Source organism: Homo sapiens, chromosome 6 (assembly GCF_000001405.40).
Source record: "Homo sapiens chromosome 6, GRCh38.p14 Primary Assembly".
In the NCBI taxonomy this organism is placed as follows: domain Eukaryota; kingdom Metazoa; phylum Chordata; class Mammalia; order Primates; family Hominidae; genus Homo; species Homo sapiens.
This window is the reverse complement of record NC_000006.12, coordinates 166,902,857-166,916,550: the sequence shown is the minus strand read 5'-3', so window position 1 is coordinate 166,916,550 and position 13,694 is coordinate 166,902,857. Positions and strand designations below refer to the sequence as shown.

The 13,694-nt window shown below is 47.5% G+C and overlaps 1 long non-coding RNA gene across 1 annotated transcript, besides 3 other annotated features; it reads right to left on the bottom strand.

The window, feature by feature from the left end:
• Positions 8,686–8,765: an enhancer, noted in NCBI's record as "active region_25440". NCBI's record gives its function as "activates an Ori minimal core promoter by ATAC-STARR-seq in GM12878 lymphoblastoid cells {active_cell/tissue: GM12878}" and the evidence as "EXISTENCE:reporter gene assay evidence [ECO:0000049][PMID:35858748]".
• On the bottom strand, positions 11,482–12,853 carry RPS6KA2-AS1 (RPS6KA2 antisense RNA 1). Its single transcript, NR_046644.1, has 2 exons — positions 12,763–12,853; positions 11,482–12,251 (listed from the first exon to the last, which is right to left on the bottom strand). It is a non-coding gene; the product is annotated as an RPS6KA2 antisense RNA 1 (long non-coding RNA).
• Positions 11,736–12,416: an enhancer, noted in NCBI's record as "H3K27ac-H3K4me1 hESC enhancer chr6:167317623-167318303 (GRCh37/hg19 assembly coordinates)". NCBI's record gives its function as "activates a minimal SCP1, AML or CMV promoter by ChIP-STARR-seq in primed H9 embryonic stem cells {active_cell/tissue: H9 hESC(primed)}" and the evidence as "EXISTENCE:reporter gene assay evidence [ECO:0000049][PMID:30033119]".
• Positions 12,417–13,098: an enhancer, noted in NCBI's record as "H3K27ac-H3K4me1 hESC enhancer chr6:167316941-167317622 (GRCh37/hg19 assembly coordinates)". NCBI's record gives its function as "activates a minimal SCP1, AML or CMV promoter by ChIP-STARR-seq in naive and primed H9 embryonic stem cells {active_cell/tissue: H9 hESC(naive and primed)}" and the evidence as "EXISTENCE:reporter gene assay evidence [ECO:0000049][PMID:30033119]".

Below are 13,694 nucleotides of genomic sequence, written 5' to 3'. Positions count from 1 at the left end.
AAAAGCTGTGGACCAGAATTTTGAGTAAAACAGTTTGGTTTTTAAAAAGAACAAAAATACCTCTTTTAATCCTTTTTTTAGTTTCAATCTTTATATCTTTATAAACATTTATCTAGTTCTTTTAGTTTTATAAGTAGTTTATAGTTTTATAGTTGCCAGTCCTTCAATTAATTATTTAATTATCCTAAGCAATTGTTAGGCAAGCCCAAATTTACATTAAAAGAGTTGACCCTTATGTCTAGTTTCTTGGTTACCGTTGAGCTGTTGTTATTTGTAAAGCTATTAATTTGAATGACCTTTAGGACCTTTTGTAAAAATATTGGCTCGAATGCAATAAGCAGTGAATTTTATCTGAACACCAGTAGAAAAGTCAGCAGATTCAAACTAGGCAGAAAAAAATTGGAAGAGAAAATTAGAGAACTTAGAAGGCACTACATGTTAACTATAGTTTCAGGGATGTTTTTAGAGAGTTTCAGTAATGACCATTTGAGCCTCTGAATTTTCCTTGATGTAATTTGTCAATCAGTTAAAAAAATGTGCACAAAAATGAGCCATAATAAGTCAGCTGGTGTAGGGAGACCCCCTGAAAGTATTGCTACGGAATAAAAAGTGAAATGCTCCTGATTGTTGTAAATACAGGATTGCATGCAGGATTGTGTAAAGACAATGCCAGGTTGGACTGCCAGAACGAGCCAGCAGCGCGTGTTGTGCTTCCCCCTGCAGAGAGCCTATGAATGGATGTGCAGTCAGGGAGGTTTCACATCACCAAGATTCCTATCCCAGAAAAGCAGATGTTCATAGCTCTGGGAATGGAATGTGACCCTTGTGGAGAGCTATAAATGGACGCATGAGGGGTGCCTGTCCATTTGGATAAGATAGGGCTATAAACGCCCTCATCTTGCCACAGCTCTTCTAGGCCTCTTTAGGGTTAAGGCATACTACCTTCTGAGAATTTCTTCACGTCCTGTTTCTATGGATTGTTTGTAACCGGCTTTTGCTGCAACTGTTACTGCTGATTAATATCTTGCTAATCATAGGTTATGGAAAGACTGTTTTTCCGTTTTAAGGCTCTGTTAGAAATTACTGATGCACACACTATATTGTAAATTCTTATCTCTGTATACTGTACTTCTGCATACAGAAGTTATGTTAAAGAATTACTTCATCCCCATGTGACCATCTCACCTCATAATCAAACAACCCTAAATCCCTAACTAACCTACCCCTGCCCTCACTAAACTTAATAATAAATGCTGGTATATCCAGTGCATTGTTGGCACTGCAGGACCAGAAGGCGGTGACCCCCCTGGACCCAGCTTTCACTATCTTGTGTGTGTCTATTATTTCTCGACCTGCTGATCTGCCTGGGAACAAAGAGAGAGCCCCATTGCATTGTGGGCTGCTGGCCAGATCCCGCAATAAGCTGGCATCTAAGAAAACTTAGCATGCCTTTATGTTTGAGAATCCCATTCCATTTCTTATTAATCTCTGAAGAAGAAAACAAGATCCTATAAATCTTGTCACAAGTTTGGACTGGTATTTTAGATGGTGGCAACCACCCTGATGGCTTTTAGTTAGCCATTTAGAATGTTTATTTTTTGCCTTCAGACTATACTCAGAGTGTTCATTTTAACCCAGGGAGGATGATCAAACAAATTACTCAGCTAGATGCATAGAACAAAAGTAAGTTCACCAGGAAAGACATGCCTCGCAGACAGAATATAAATTCTGTGGAAATCAGGGTACTCAAATCAGAAAGATTCTTGTTTTTATACCAGAAATGACTTGCCAGAAAAGACAAAAAGTCTTTTATCATCTCCAGGAAGGATGTCAGATCCTTTATTAAGACAGCCTTGTAACCAAACAAAATCCTGAATAATATAAAAAATTCTCTACCAAAAAGAAGGAGGCTTGGCCTGAGAGACAATGCACCAGGGCAGAGAAAGTGAGCCCTGGAAGCAGAGCATTCAATGGGCTCAAGTGAGTAGTTCACACCAGGTCCAAGAATCACTGGTGCTTTCTGATGGTCTTTTTCAAGGTCGCACTTCTGACACCATTTATGTCACCCTAAATAACACATAGACATGGGCGCTCTAAAGAAAAATGATATTTATTTGAAGATGGGCATTGCAATGGGAATACATGTGCCATAGTAAACTATGGGCATATTTGGGAAACTAAAATAAGACAAAGGTTTTTAAAGGAAAAATGCAGGAGAATGACATAATTGTTTTGCAATAATTATCCTTGGGTACAAAGGATCAATAATAAAGATGATGCTATTCTGAGACTGGAAAGGCAGTTGCTGGGCAGATGTCCTCACAGAAGCATTTTTTGTGTAAGTTTGTGATGGCTCTGTGCAAGGTTTTGTTTTAGTAGTCTTTTGTGACAGTTTTGTTACCAGGCCTGCAAGCATGAGAACCCCTTCATATCCTTCCCCAGATCAATTTGTCAGGGTTCTGTTTTTGTTTTTGTTGTTTTACACAAATGACTTCATTTTGATTCTGAAAACTTTTACAAGGTACAGTTTGATCAGGGGTCCAGGTTAATTGTTTCCCAGGACGCTGGGCTCTGTCCTGCTTTATATTATGGCTTTTCTCTTAGCCTGTCTTCCATGTGAAACAAAATGGTAGGAGCCATGCCAGGACTTCAATCCATCTGGGGGAAAGTTCCCATTTATTTTCTTTGTAATGCAAAGCAACTTTCCCCAAACCAAGTCTCTGAAATAATTATTCTCTTTCATTTTTTTCTATATAGGATTTATAAGGACAAGTGGTCCCTTTCTTACAGGCACTATTAAGAGCTGGAGATTCTAATAGAATAAGTAATTTTATATGTTATGCACAATTAATTGTAATATATAAGTGCAAAAGTGCACATGCTGGGTATTTTACATGTATGTTCTTATTTAATTGTCACAACAGCTCTGCAAAGTATGGTCCTTGCCATTTTAATGAAGCATCAAAAATAGACATGTTAAACAATTTGTATAGTGACACAGTGATGGTAAGTGGCATTTTTCAAAAAGCATTTGAACTTTTAAAAACACTAGTTGAGCACACTTCCAATCACAACACAGACATTTGATTTATCTTTGTGGAAGGAGCCAATGATGCTGAATGAACAGGCTCTGCATGTAAACCATGCAGCCTTTTTGCCAGCCTCTGTCAGTGTGTTGTGCAAATAGTTGGTGCTGCATGATTGCTTGCTGAATTGAATTGAAGATGTCATTTCATTCCAGGCCATTGTAAACAGTTGCTAGTTGCTGGCATCCTCCAATTTTCTTTGTGAGTTTGAGACTGAAGCTTGAGATGTGGCCTTGAATGCCTTTTTGTGATCCTCTCCTTTGGGTCCTAGCTCATGCAAAGAAAAGGAGAGTCTGGGGAGAGCCCCAGTGGAGCAGGGCTTCTACAGAAGAGCTGCACTCACAGAGGCAGGGCTGACCTGGACGAATTGAAGATGGAGGTCAGCAGGAGGTCACCCTTGCTGCAGCTTGGTGAACACAAGTAGGGCCCCATGGGCCATGTATCACTGAGGTAAGGGACTTCAAGGTCACCACACCACCTTTTCAAACAGCATAGGACCTGTAGACCCTCAGAAAAGCAGAGACAGGCACAAGCCTTGAGGGACAGAGTGGCTCTCTAAACCTAGGCTTTAGACAAAGCACCCTGAATGTGCAAGGTGTAACATACAAGAAGTGTAACATTTGCACATGCAGGACAGTGATGTCTCTGGGCTCTGTCCTGTGCCCATCTTGAATGGGGAGTGTAGCTGCCAGCACACATCAAACAGTGATGCTGAGAATGCAAGAAGATACGGATTCTTCTACTTGCTGTCCTTGTGCTGTTCTCTGGGGACTCTTCACTGGTGAAGAGTGCAATCACTGAGTAATTTTTTTATTAGGGCAAATTGGGCTTACGATGACATCTTTTTCTCCATAGTTCTTCCCAGAGAGCAGGCAGGTGGCAACCAGGACTTGTAATGGGTGTTTGCTAAGCACATCCTGCATGGAACCAGCATATCACCTTGCATTACTGAGTCCTGATGAATGAAACTGGAACAAAGTAGACTTCTCCTTCTGTGCTGAGCACCTGAAGTGTTTGTGTTCTGAGGATAAGAGCCCTGAAGATGATGTGAGACTTTTTTTTTTTAAGCAAAATAGCTTCCTGATTGTGTCCTATTTGTCTCAAGTTCAATTTTTAAAATCTGAGTTATACCAGATATGGACAGGATCTTTGATAAAGGGAAACTAAACCCAACAATGAATTGAATTGGGTTTGGAAAAGCATGTGTGGAATTCAGCCGTTCCTCCTAATCTCATTTCTCTTCACCACAGATCGTTGGGGGCTGCACGTCGCTCATCACTGTTGTTGAGAATTAGTTTTTTCATCAATAGTCCATATTTCTAAATTGGAAAATATGGATTGGCCAGGCACGGTGGCTCATGCCTGTAATCCTAGCACTTTGGGAGGCCGAGGCAGGCAGATCCCTTGAGGTCAGAGGTTCAAAACCAGCCTGGCCAACATGGTGAACCCCCGTCTCTACTAAAAATACAAAAAAATTAGGAGGGCATGGTGGCGCGTGCCTGTAATCCCAGCTACTTGGGAGGCTGAGGCAGGAGGCAGAGGTTGCAGTGAGCTGAGATCACACCACTGCACTCCAGCCTGGGTGACAGAGGCTGGAGTCTCAAAAAGAAAGAAAATATGGATGATGATTTTCTAAGGTGATCACCAGGAGGCAGATAGCAACTTGTTTTTACTCAGACACTATGACTTGTTCAATATAAAATTAGAAGCTCTTCCCTCTTCTTCTCGGAATGCTGTTGCTGGTGATGCTGTCACTTCTCTCCACCCCGGTGTACAGTGTGGTGATCAAAATCAGATGTGCAGAGGAGTAGAAAGAATGGGTTATCAGCAAACGGACGGCAGAACCGGGGTGTGTTATGAAGTTCGCCTTGCTCTTTCATGATAACTTTTGCTCTTTTCCTGTCTGATGGGATGCCTGTTCCTTTATCAGTGAGTTTCTCTAGTTAGCAATCTCCCTAAGAAAGGGTTGGTCAATCTCTTAAGAATGTGGTATGTCTTCTACTTATTTTAATTTCAACAGACTTGTTGCTAATTTTTACACTGAGGTCAGGCGAGTTGCTTCTTTTGTGTTATCTTCTCTGCTGCTGTGAGTCACTAGACCATTTCTGATACCTGGTAATGCAGGAAGTGGTGACATGGATGTTGGGAACATATCATTGCATTTGCATTTGGCCATAGCTGTGAAGTTCAGGCAGTTTAACACATTTGTATTAAAATAATGAAATTATAACATAAAAATATAGCCCAGAAAAATTGAAAAATGGTTCTACTTTCCTTTTAGATATTCTATTCAACATGCTGACCGATTTTATGCATCAACTTGGCTGGGTTTGGGGTGCCTAGATAATTGGTTGACATTATTCTGGATGTTTCTGTGAGGGTGCTCTTGGATGAGATGAGCACTCCAGTTAGTGGAGTTGAGTGGAGCAGATAGCCCTCCCTAATGTGGGTTGGCCTCATCCTGTCAGTGAAGGCCTGAATACAACAAGACTCACCTCCCCCGAGCAAGAGAGAATTCTCCAGCACACGGCCTTTGGGCTTAACTACAGATTTTGGACTTGCCAGCCTTAGTAATCACATGAGCCAATTCCTTAAAATAGATTGATCTCCCTGTACACACACACATCCTATTGGTTCTGTTTCTCTGGAGAACCCTGACTAATCCATCCCCTGTGAGTCAACATCGTCTGTTCGGTGCACGCAGGCGCCCACACACCTGACCTCCCTGGGCTCTCTCTGAGCTGTTCCTGGTGTTCTCCTTTTGGGGCGAAGATGAAGAAATAACATACAGTTTCATGCAGGGCTTCCTGGATGGCTTCCATTCCCAAGAAAGAACAAGTATGTACAGACACAGATTTTACTACCAACATGAACAGAATAGGTGGAAACAGTCAAAATTTGAAACCAAAGTGTGTTATGACAAGTAAGCCTCGCTCCCAGCCCCATCCCTTAGTCGAATGACACCTTTCCCTAGATGCTTGGACACCTGATTCCGTATTTCTTTTTCTTTTAAAAAGACTTAAGTTTGCAGGAAATTTGCAAGAATGGTGCAAAGAATTGTTTTCCCCCTGAAACACTTGAGAACAAGTTGTTGACATGATGTACATCACCCCTAGATACTTAGGGCATGTTTTCTACACAGGATGTTCTCTTACACCTCACAGCATAACCGCCTGGATCAAGAAATGGGCCCTGGCTGAGCACGGTGGCTCATGCCTGTAATCCCAGCACTTTGGGAGGCCGAGGCAGGCGGATCACGAGGACAGGAGATCGAGACCATCCTGGCTAACACAGTGAAACCCCATCTCTACTAAAAATACAAGAAAATTAGCCGGGCGTGGTGGCGGGCGCCTGTAGTCCCAGCTACTCGGGAGGCTGAGGCAGGAGAATGGCGTGAACCCAGGAGGCGGAGCTTGCAGTGAGCCGAGATTGCGCCACTGCACTGCAGCCTGGGTGACAGAGTAAGACTCCATCTCAAAAAAAAAAGAAAGAAAGAAATGGGCCCTGACACATCACTGTCACCCCATCCATAGGCCTCATTTCACTGTCACCAATTGTCTCAACAATTTCCTTTCAAGCAAAAGCATCCACCTAGGACCCACAGGGTGTTTGGTTGTTGTGCCCCACAGTCTCCTGCAGTCTGGAACGCTCCCGGGGATTTCTTGGCTTTTGTGAAGATTGCAGGTGGTTATTCTGTAGACTGTTCCTCAGCTTAGTTTTGCCTGCCGTTTCCTCAGGGCACGTTTCTAGGGTGAGCAATTGGGCTTCTCCTTGTGGCATCCTGTTAGATGGTGCGTGATCCTCACAAGACTCACTGGGGCTGGGTCCGTCAGCTTCTCCACTGTTAGGTTTTCATTTCTTCTTTGTAATTAATAGAACTCAGAAGTTATGTAAATATTCCATTCCTCATTTAGGAATTTAAGTCGATATGGAGTTAAGGTTTCCTGTTTCATTCTGTGAGTTAAAACCCATTGCTTTCATTATGGCTTAAATAGCTCTCATTTGGCCAGTGAGAGACCCTCAACCTGGTGTCTGGGTCATCTTCTCACCTCCAGGCCATTGTTTGAGCCCTTCCTTACTCTTGGGCAGTGCAGTGCATTCTAGCTCATGTGCTTCCCAAAGCTGGAGCCAGCCATACCTACCAGGAGAGAAGTACCGCTCCCCACATACGTGGATGTCTGCATTCATATCTACATTGATCCACATATACTACAAGCCGTAGGTTCACACCAGTGCTTTTAATTCTAATCTAATACTGCAGAGATCATTCTAGTTTTCTTTCTGTCCATGTTTGTAACTTTCCCTAATATTGATAAACCTGGCTCCCATTGTCTTCACTTATTTTATTGATCTATGTGTATGTTACCAAGCTGTGCTGCTGTCCCTCCTGCAGATGGGGGTGCCACCTCCCCCTCAGTGCTGACATGCCCTGCCAGGCCTCTGCCATCCTCCACTGTCAGTTCCTCATTCCACTGGAACCTAACACCCTAGAACGAAGAAGGGAGGGAGGGAAGAAAGAGGGAAGGAAATTTTACCACGCTTCAAAGCATTATAATGTTTTCACTTTTACAATCTGTAAACTCCATTCATGTGCACATTTATGTATTAAAATTCTCACCAAAGTAAAATGCAAGCACAAGACCAAAGAGAGGAGGATGCGTGTTGTGCTCTAACAGCTAATGCACAGATCATTGCATCCCTATCATCTGCTGTGTGAGTCCCTTCAGAGGACTGGGAAAAGCCTGATTCTTAGCGTGGAGTTAAGATAGGAGGCTGCCCTGGGTGTTACCCGCCTAAGGCTGGCCTCCAAGGCTTCAGAATTCATCCTGAGAAGCTTCATTCCTGGCGTGCTGGGGGACTGATGGGTCTCCTCCTTTGCTGACCTATAGTGGTGTTTCTAGTTCCATTTATCCCATATTTTTGTGATGCTGTGATAACATCTTTTCACAACAATTCGTTTTCTTCTCTCTCCTGCTTCCCACGCTGGCTGTGGCAGGGAGAACAGGGGCACTTCTGTGGAACGTGTCTGTCCCGGCAGGAGGGAAGGTGTCTGCTGGGAGCCTCCAGAAGCCGCACTGCAAACAGCTGAGCTGAGCTGAGCTGAGCAGAGCAGAGCAGAGCAGAGCAGAGCTTGTCACCCAGAGGAGGGAGGAAACGGTTCAAGGGAAAGGCTAAGTGAGCAGGCAATGTTCCCTCTCCAACAGCAAGGCATGAGAGAATGTCCTTGAGAGCGGGAGAGAAAAATCACATTGCTGCACTGATGTTTGCACTTCAAAGAGCTCACGCGATGCTGTGTAAAGCTCTAGCTGTTTGCCCAGGTCCCGATAAAGTTCTGTGCCCATGGATGAGGACGGAATCTTGTATTCAGCATCCTCCTTCCCTGGCGTGGTCTCACGGAGCAATCTCCTCTCGGGGTTTCTATGGTGGATGCGATATTGCAGGGAGTGTTTGCTTTACTCCCCCAAGGCTTCCCATAGAAGGCCCCTTGAATAGGAGACAGAGGAAGCAGAATTGTGGCATGATGGGTGTTTAATACATGGCACTTCTGCTGTGTGCGTGCCATCTTATGTTGGTTTCACTCCAAATGAAATCCCAGTGAGGAGACACTGATTCCTTTGTGAGTCATTGGAGAATCTGCCACCTGCCAGAGGTTCCGCAGGTGCACGGTCAGGCAGACACTCAGACCTAGGCCCCCGGCCCCAGCCAGCTCTCCCCGACTGTCGTGTCTTCCATAGACTGCTTGGTGAACCAAGGACAGACACAAAAGGCAGCCACCAACACTGCCCAGTCCCCATCCTCTTGCCTTCATTATCTTACAAGGGTTTCTCATGTGCTCTGCATGGGAGATATGCTGGGCCAAAATGAAACAGGAAGTCCCAGGCAAGCACAGTGCAGCTAAGTTTGTGTTTCGTAGAAAAACCACATGAATCAATAATATTCAAGGGCTATTTTAAAATTAGTAATACTCAGTCCATTGCTGATGAGCCGTTGAGGAAGCTGCTTACCTAGTGTCCGACAGCTGAGAAAGCCATTGAGGAGTGGGGAGAAAGGAACTGGTGTCTTGCCCTGGAGTGTGGGTTAGGGGACAGAGTGGGGGTCCTCAGCGGAGAGGAACATTCAGAAAATTCCTGAATAAAAGTGGCTTTTATTCTACATGTTTTAGCTTAAGAAAGATATCCACCTTGATTCGGAGGTTGACTATGAGGAACCATTGGCAAAATGCAAGATGGATTAAATTAAGATATACTCAGAAAGCCCATGTGTTAGGATTCACTAGCCAGTAATAAAGACATCCAGGCAGATTTTCATCCAATCCAGGTGGTAAGAGATCAAGAGAAGCACGAACAGGGCCCCTTTCATGAATTCACCACTGCGTGGAAGCCAGCCCTGTGTCTGCTGAAGGCTGCTGCTCAGGGAGCTAAGCTGGCAGGAGGAATTGGTGGGGAGAGCGGGGCCGGGCAGGGAGGTGAGCTGGCATTGAGGAGTTGGTGGGGAGAGCGGGGCCGGGCAGGGAGGTGAGCTGGCATCAGGAGTTGGTGGGGAGAGCGGGTTGGGCCTTCAGGGTGGGTGGACGGTGGCAGCAATGACATCAGCAGGTAATGAACAGGGCATGCAGCAGCGGTGGGTGGAGATGGTGGGGTGGCAGTGCAACTTGGGAACAGGAGTGGGCAGCATAGGAAAGGGGTTCAAGGCCTCAAGGAACATGCGAAGGTGCAGGAAGTGGAGAAGGAAGAAGCGTTGGCAAAACCTGCAGCAATAGCTTAGAGGCAGGGAACTGGTGGTCAGAGGAGAGAGTGTGGGGAAAGAAGCCAGAGGACTCAGGCCTGAAAGCATGCGAGGCACGGAAAGGCAAACACAGCCCGGTGCTGGCGGGAACAAAGGCCTGCTGCAGAAATTTACAATTTGTCCCTCATGCTGCTGAGTGGGAGGACAGAGCGTGACTGCAGGCTGCGGGGCTGCAGGACCACGGGTGTTCTGCTGGGGATGATGGGAAGGCAGTGGGAAAGGCCTGAAGAGACCCTGGGAGTCCTAGCTGGTTCCTGGATGGAAATTCTTTGACCAGCGTCCTATATGGCCTAAAGGGAAAAGTACAGGAGCTCTGGAGGGGTGAGTGCTCCACACACGGAGCTGTGTTCCGGAGGGGTGTGTATTCCCACACACAGAGTTGTGTTCTGGAGGGGTGAGTGCAGAGCTGTGTTCCAGAGGGGTGTTCCCACACATGGAGTTGTGTTCCGGAGGGGTGTGTATTCCCACACACAGAGTTGTGTTCTGGAGGGGTGAGTGCAGAGCTGTGTTCCAGAGGGGTGTTCCCACACACGGAGTTGTGTTCCGGAGGGGTGTGTATTCCCACACACAGAGTTGTGTTCTGGAGGGGTGAGTGCAGAGCTGTGTTCCAGAGGGGTGTTCCCACACATGGAGTTGTGTTCCGGAGGGGTGTGTTTTCCCACACACAGAGTTGTGCTCTGGAAGGGAGTGTGCTCCCACACATGGAGTTGTGTTCTGGGGGGGTGTGTGCTCCATACACAGGGTTGTGCTATGCTTCCACAGCGCGGGCAGCATGCGTGTGGGTGTGTGGTGGTATAATTCATGGCGTGGGAGATCTCCCAGGAGTGTGGTCCTCCTGCTGTTCCTGGCAACTCTTGCATTTCCCATTGGGTCTCACCTTTATTTCATTCATTGGTTCACTTGTTTATTCAGCAACTGTCTGCAGAGTTCCTGCTCTGGGGGAGAAGCAGTGAGCCAGGGGTTGGGAATACCCGGGTGACAGGAGAAATGTGGTCCCTGCCGCTTCCTGCCTTTCAGAGAAGTCACACACCTCCCATGGCACTCGAAGGGGATACACACGGTGCTGTGAGCACAGGGAGACCCGGCACCACGCAGCCCCCCATCCCTCTTCAGGGAGACCTGGTACCACCCAGCCCCCCTATCCCTCTTCAGGGAGACCTGGTACCACCCAGCTTCCTCATTCCTCTTCTCTCTGCTTCTCCATTCTATTTCATTTCTTGACCAGAGAATCTCCCCCTCCCACTGTCTCTGTGGTTTCCAGAATGGAAAAAACGTAAATATCGCTATACAACGCCCGACCCCTGCCGCCCCAAAGAATCTCAGGAGGTCAAGACCCCTGGATCTCCTTGCACCTCTGCTGTGGATTCCATGCAAGGCTTCACAAACATGCTTTTATGTGCGTGTCCAGCAGCAGAAGCCATGTGAGTGTGCAGGAGACAGGGAGCCCTTTCGAGCCTCCATGGAAAGCCAGCTCGCTTGGGCTGTGCTGGAGGCAGTGCCCCTCTCTGCTGGCTGCAGTAAAGGCTGTGAGCAAAAGGAGGGAGGCTGAAGGCCAGTAAAATAGAATCATATTTACAGTGATACAAAGCCACGTGCCACACTTTCTACTCGGTGGTGGGAATGACAGCATAAGGGTTTAATGCCTACATACAGTTAGGATCAGGCTGGAATTTGGGTGTTTGGCTCCCCATGTTTTAACTCACATTCCTTTAATTGGGTCATAGTCCTGCCCTCGCTGTCATTTTTGCCAGCTGCATGGTTCCCTCTGAGCTGCAGAATCAGGTAGACCAGAAGACCCAGGTGATGCTGGTGTTTACCTTCTTAGCTGGGAATTAGTTGGCAGCGGCCGCATGGCTCTGACATTCATTTCAAATATAACCTGCAAGGAGCAAGGAAGAAACCGCAAGCAACACAACTTTTTCGCCCTCAAATTACATCCCAGCTGAGACCGCTGCCTGGGATTTTCTCAGCATCCTTCCTGCCCCTCAGTAGGACATGCTGAGCTGTTCTGAGCCATTTCACCTGTGTTGGGAGCTGTGGCGGGAAATCAGACGGAGCGGCGTCTTGTAGCTCATTTGCCTCACGGTGGCTCCTGCTGCCTTTCTCCTCTTCCCATGTGGCCAGTGGCCAGCCAGCCCCTGCTGTCAGCACTTCTGAGCTAAGATCTCTCTGACTCCACAGGAACTGGCAGTGGGAATCCAAAAGTCACCATGGTGACGACTCACTTAGGAGTGTGCTGTGTTTCCTGATCGCGCAGCAGCCGTGGGGGCAGGCGGGGCAGCTGCGCTTCCACCCACTCTGAAGTTCACCCAAAGCTGCCCACTGGCCGGTGTTCCTCCAGCGTGGGCCTCAGCCCGCAGCATTGGCGTCCCCTGGGAGCTGTTTAGAAATGCAAATGTCGGGTCCTGCGCAGTCTTGCTGCTCAGAGTCTGCATGTTCCCAGGGCCCAGGAGGCTGCTGCATGCCGTGAAGTGTGAGGAGCCGGGTTGGGGTGGCCCACCCTGTGCACAGAGCCGGGAGGTGCCGTGGCCTGCACTGCCCCACCCCGACCTTCTGGCAGAAAGTCCAGGCTTTCCCTGCTCTACGCCGACTCCCACCATAGTCTTATTGAGATCTCATATGAGGAACCAACTCCATTCACAGCTGAGGGGCTGAATCAAAGCACTGGGGGCAGCAGTGCGGGGTGGGTGAGACCCTGTCTGGAAAATGGGACAGCGTTAGGGAGGAGTGTGTCCATGCAAGGAAGGCTTAGAAATGCTCCCACACATGTTGGGGTCTCAAAGTTTCAGCAGTGGTCACTGCCTGAGAAGCTCCGGCCAGGTCAGAGGTGCCAGGGCACAGGTCAGGAAGCAGCTGAACCCCTGCCTGCTAGCCAAGCTCCGGTTCTCACCCACTGTGCCTGGGTCACACCGTCCTATCCGGATTCCACTGGTATTCACATTCCTGGGATGTGGCGGAGTTCCAGCTGGGATCCGGCTGCCCATCGCTGTGGCGGGAAGAGAGCTGCTGAACAGCATGCGAGACCCCTTTGCAGAGGGGCACTGCTGCGCTGCCAAGGCAAAGCCTGAACAGGAGGAGGAGACGAGGGTCACAGTGATAATACCCCTTGGAGGGCAAGCTGGGGTGGGCCGAGGAAGGGGCCGGGGCAGAGCTTGAGGAATCTGCTGAAGGAACAGCCTGTTCAGGCTGACTCAGGTCGGCCCACAACTCCCTTCACCACCCCAGGTCCTTTGAGGTACAGAGGAGGCAAAGGAGAGAGCAGCTTTGCAGCCTGCAAAAGGTCTCCTGGCCCAGGCTTGTCTAATTTGCAGCTCTAGGCTCCCGTTCACAGCCCCGCATGTCTCCATGCTGGTTAGGATGATGCTAGCCCTGTGATAAACACATCCCATCATTTCACTAGCTTCACGCTCTGGAAGTTTTATTTCTTACTCATGTCCCTGTCCAGTGCTGTTGCTCCTGGTACTAGGCAGCACTCCGCATAATGAATCAGGAGCCGAGGCTCGTCAGTGCTCCACGGGGTGACTCAGGGTGCAAGGCTTCTTGTGTCCAGTGGCTCCGTCATCTCTCTTTCACCTTATTGCTGGGCTGCATCTTTTTTTGTGCCATGAACCCCTTCCAGTGGCCTGATGGTCTCAGAATAAGATTTTTTAACACATTAAAGAAAACACAAGACAGCAAGGAATAGGATATGAAAATGTTTTGTACTGCCAGCAAAACACCAGTCCTGCTGAAGCTACTGTGCTTTTTTGCCTACACTCATAATTGATGGAAATACTAAATATGAGGTACAAATAATGCAGTTGTTTTCCCATTGGAGGTCAC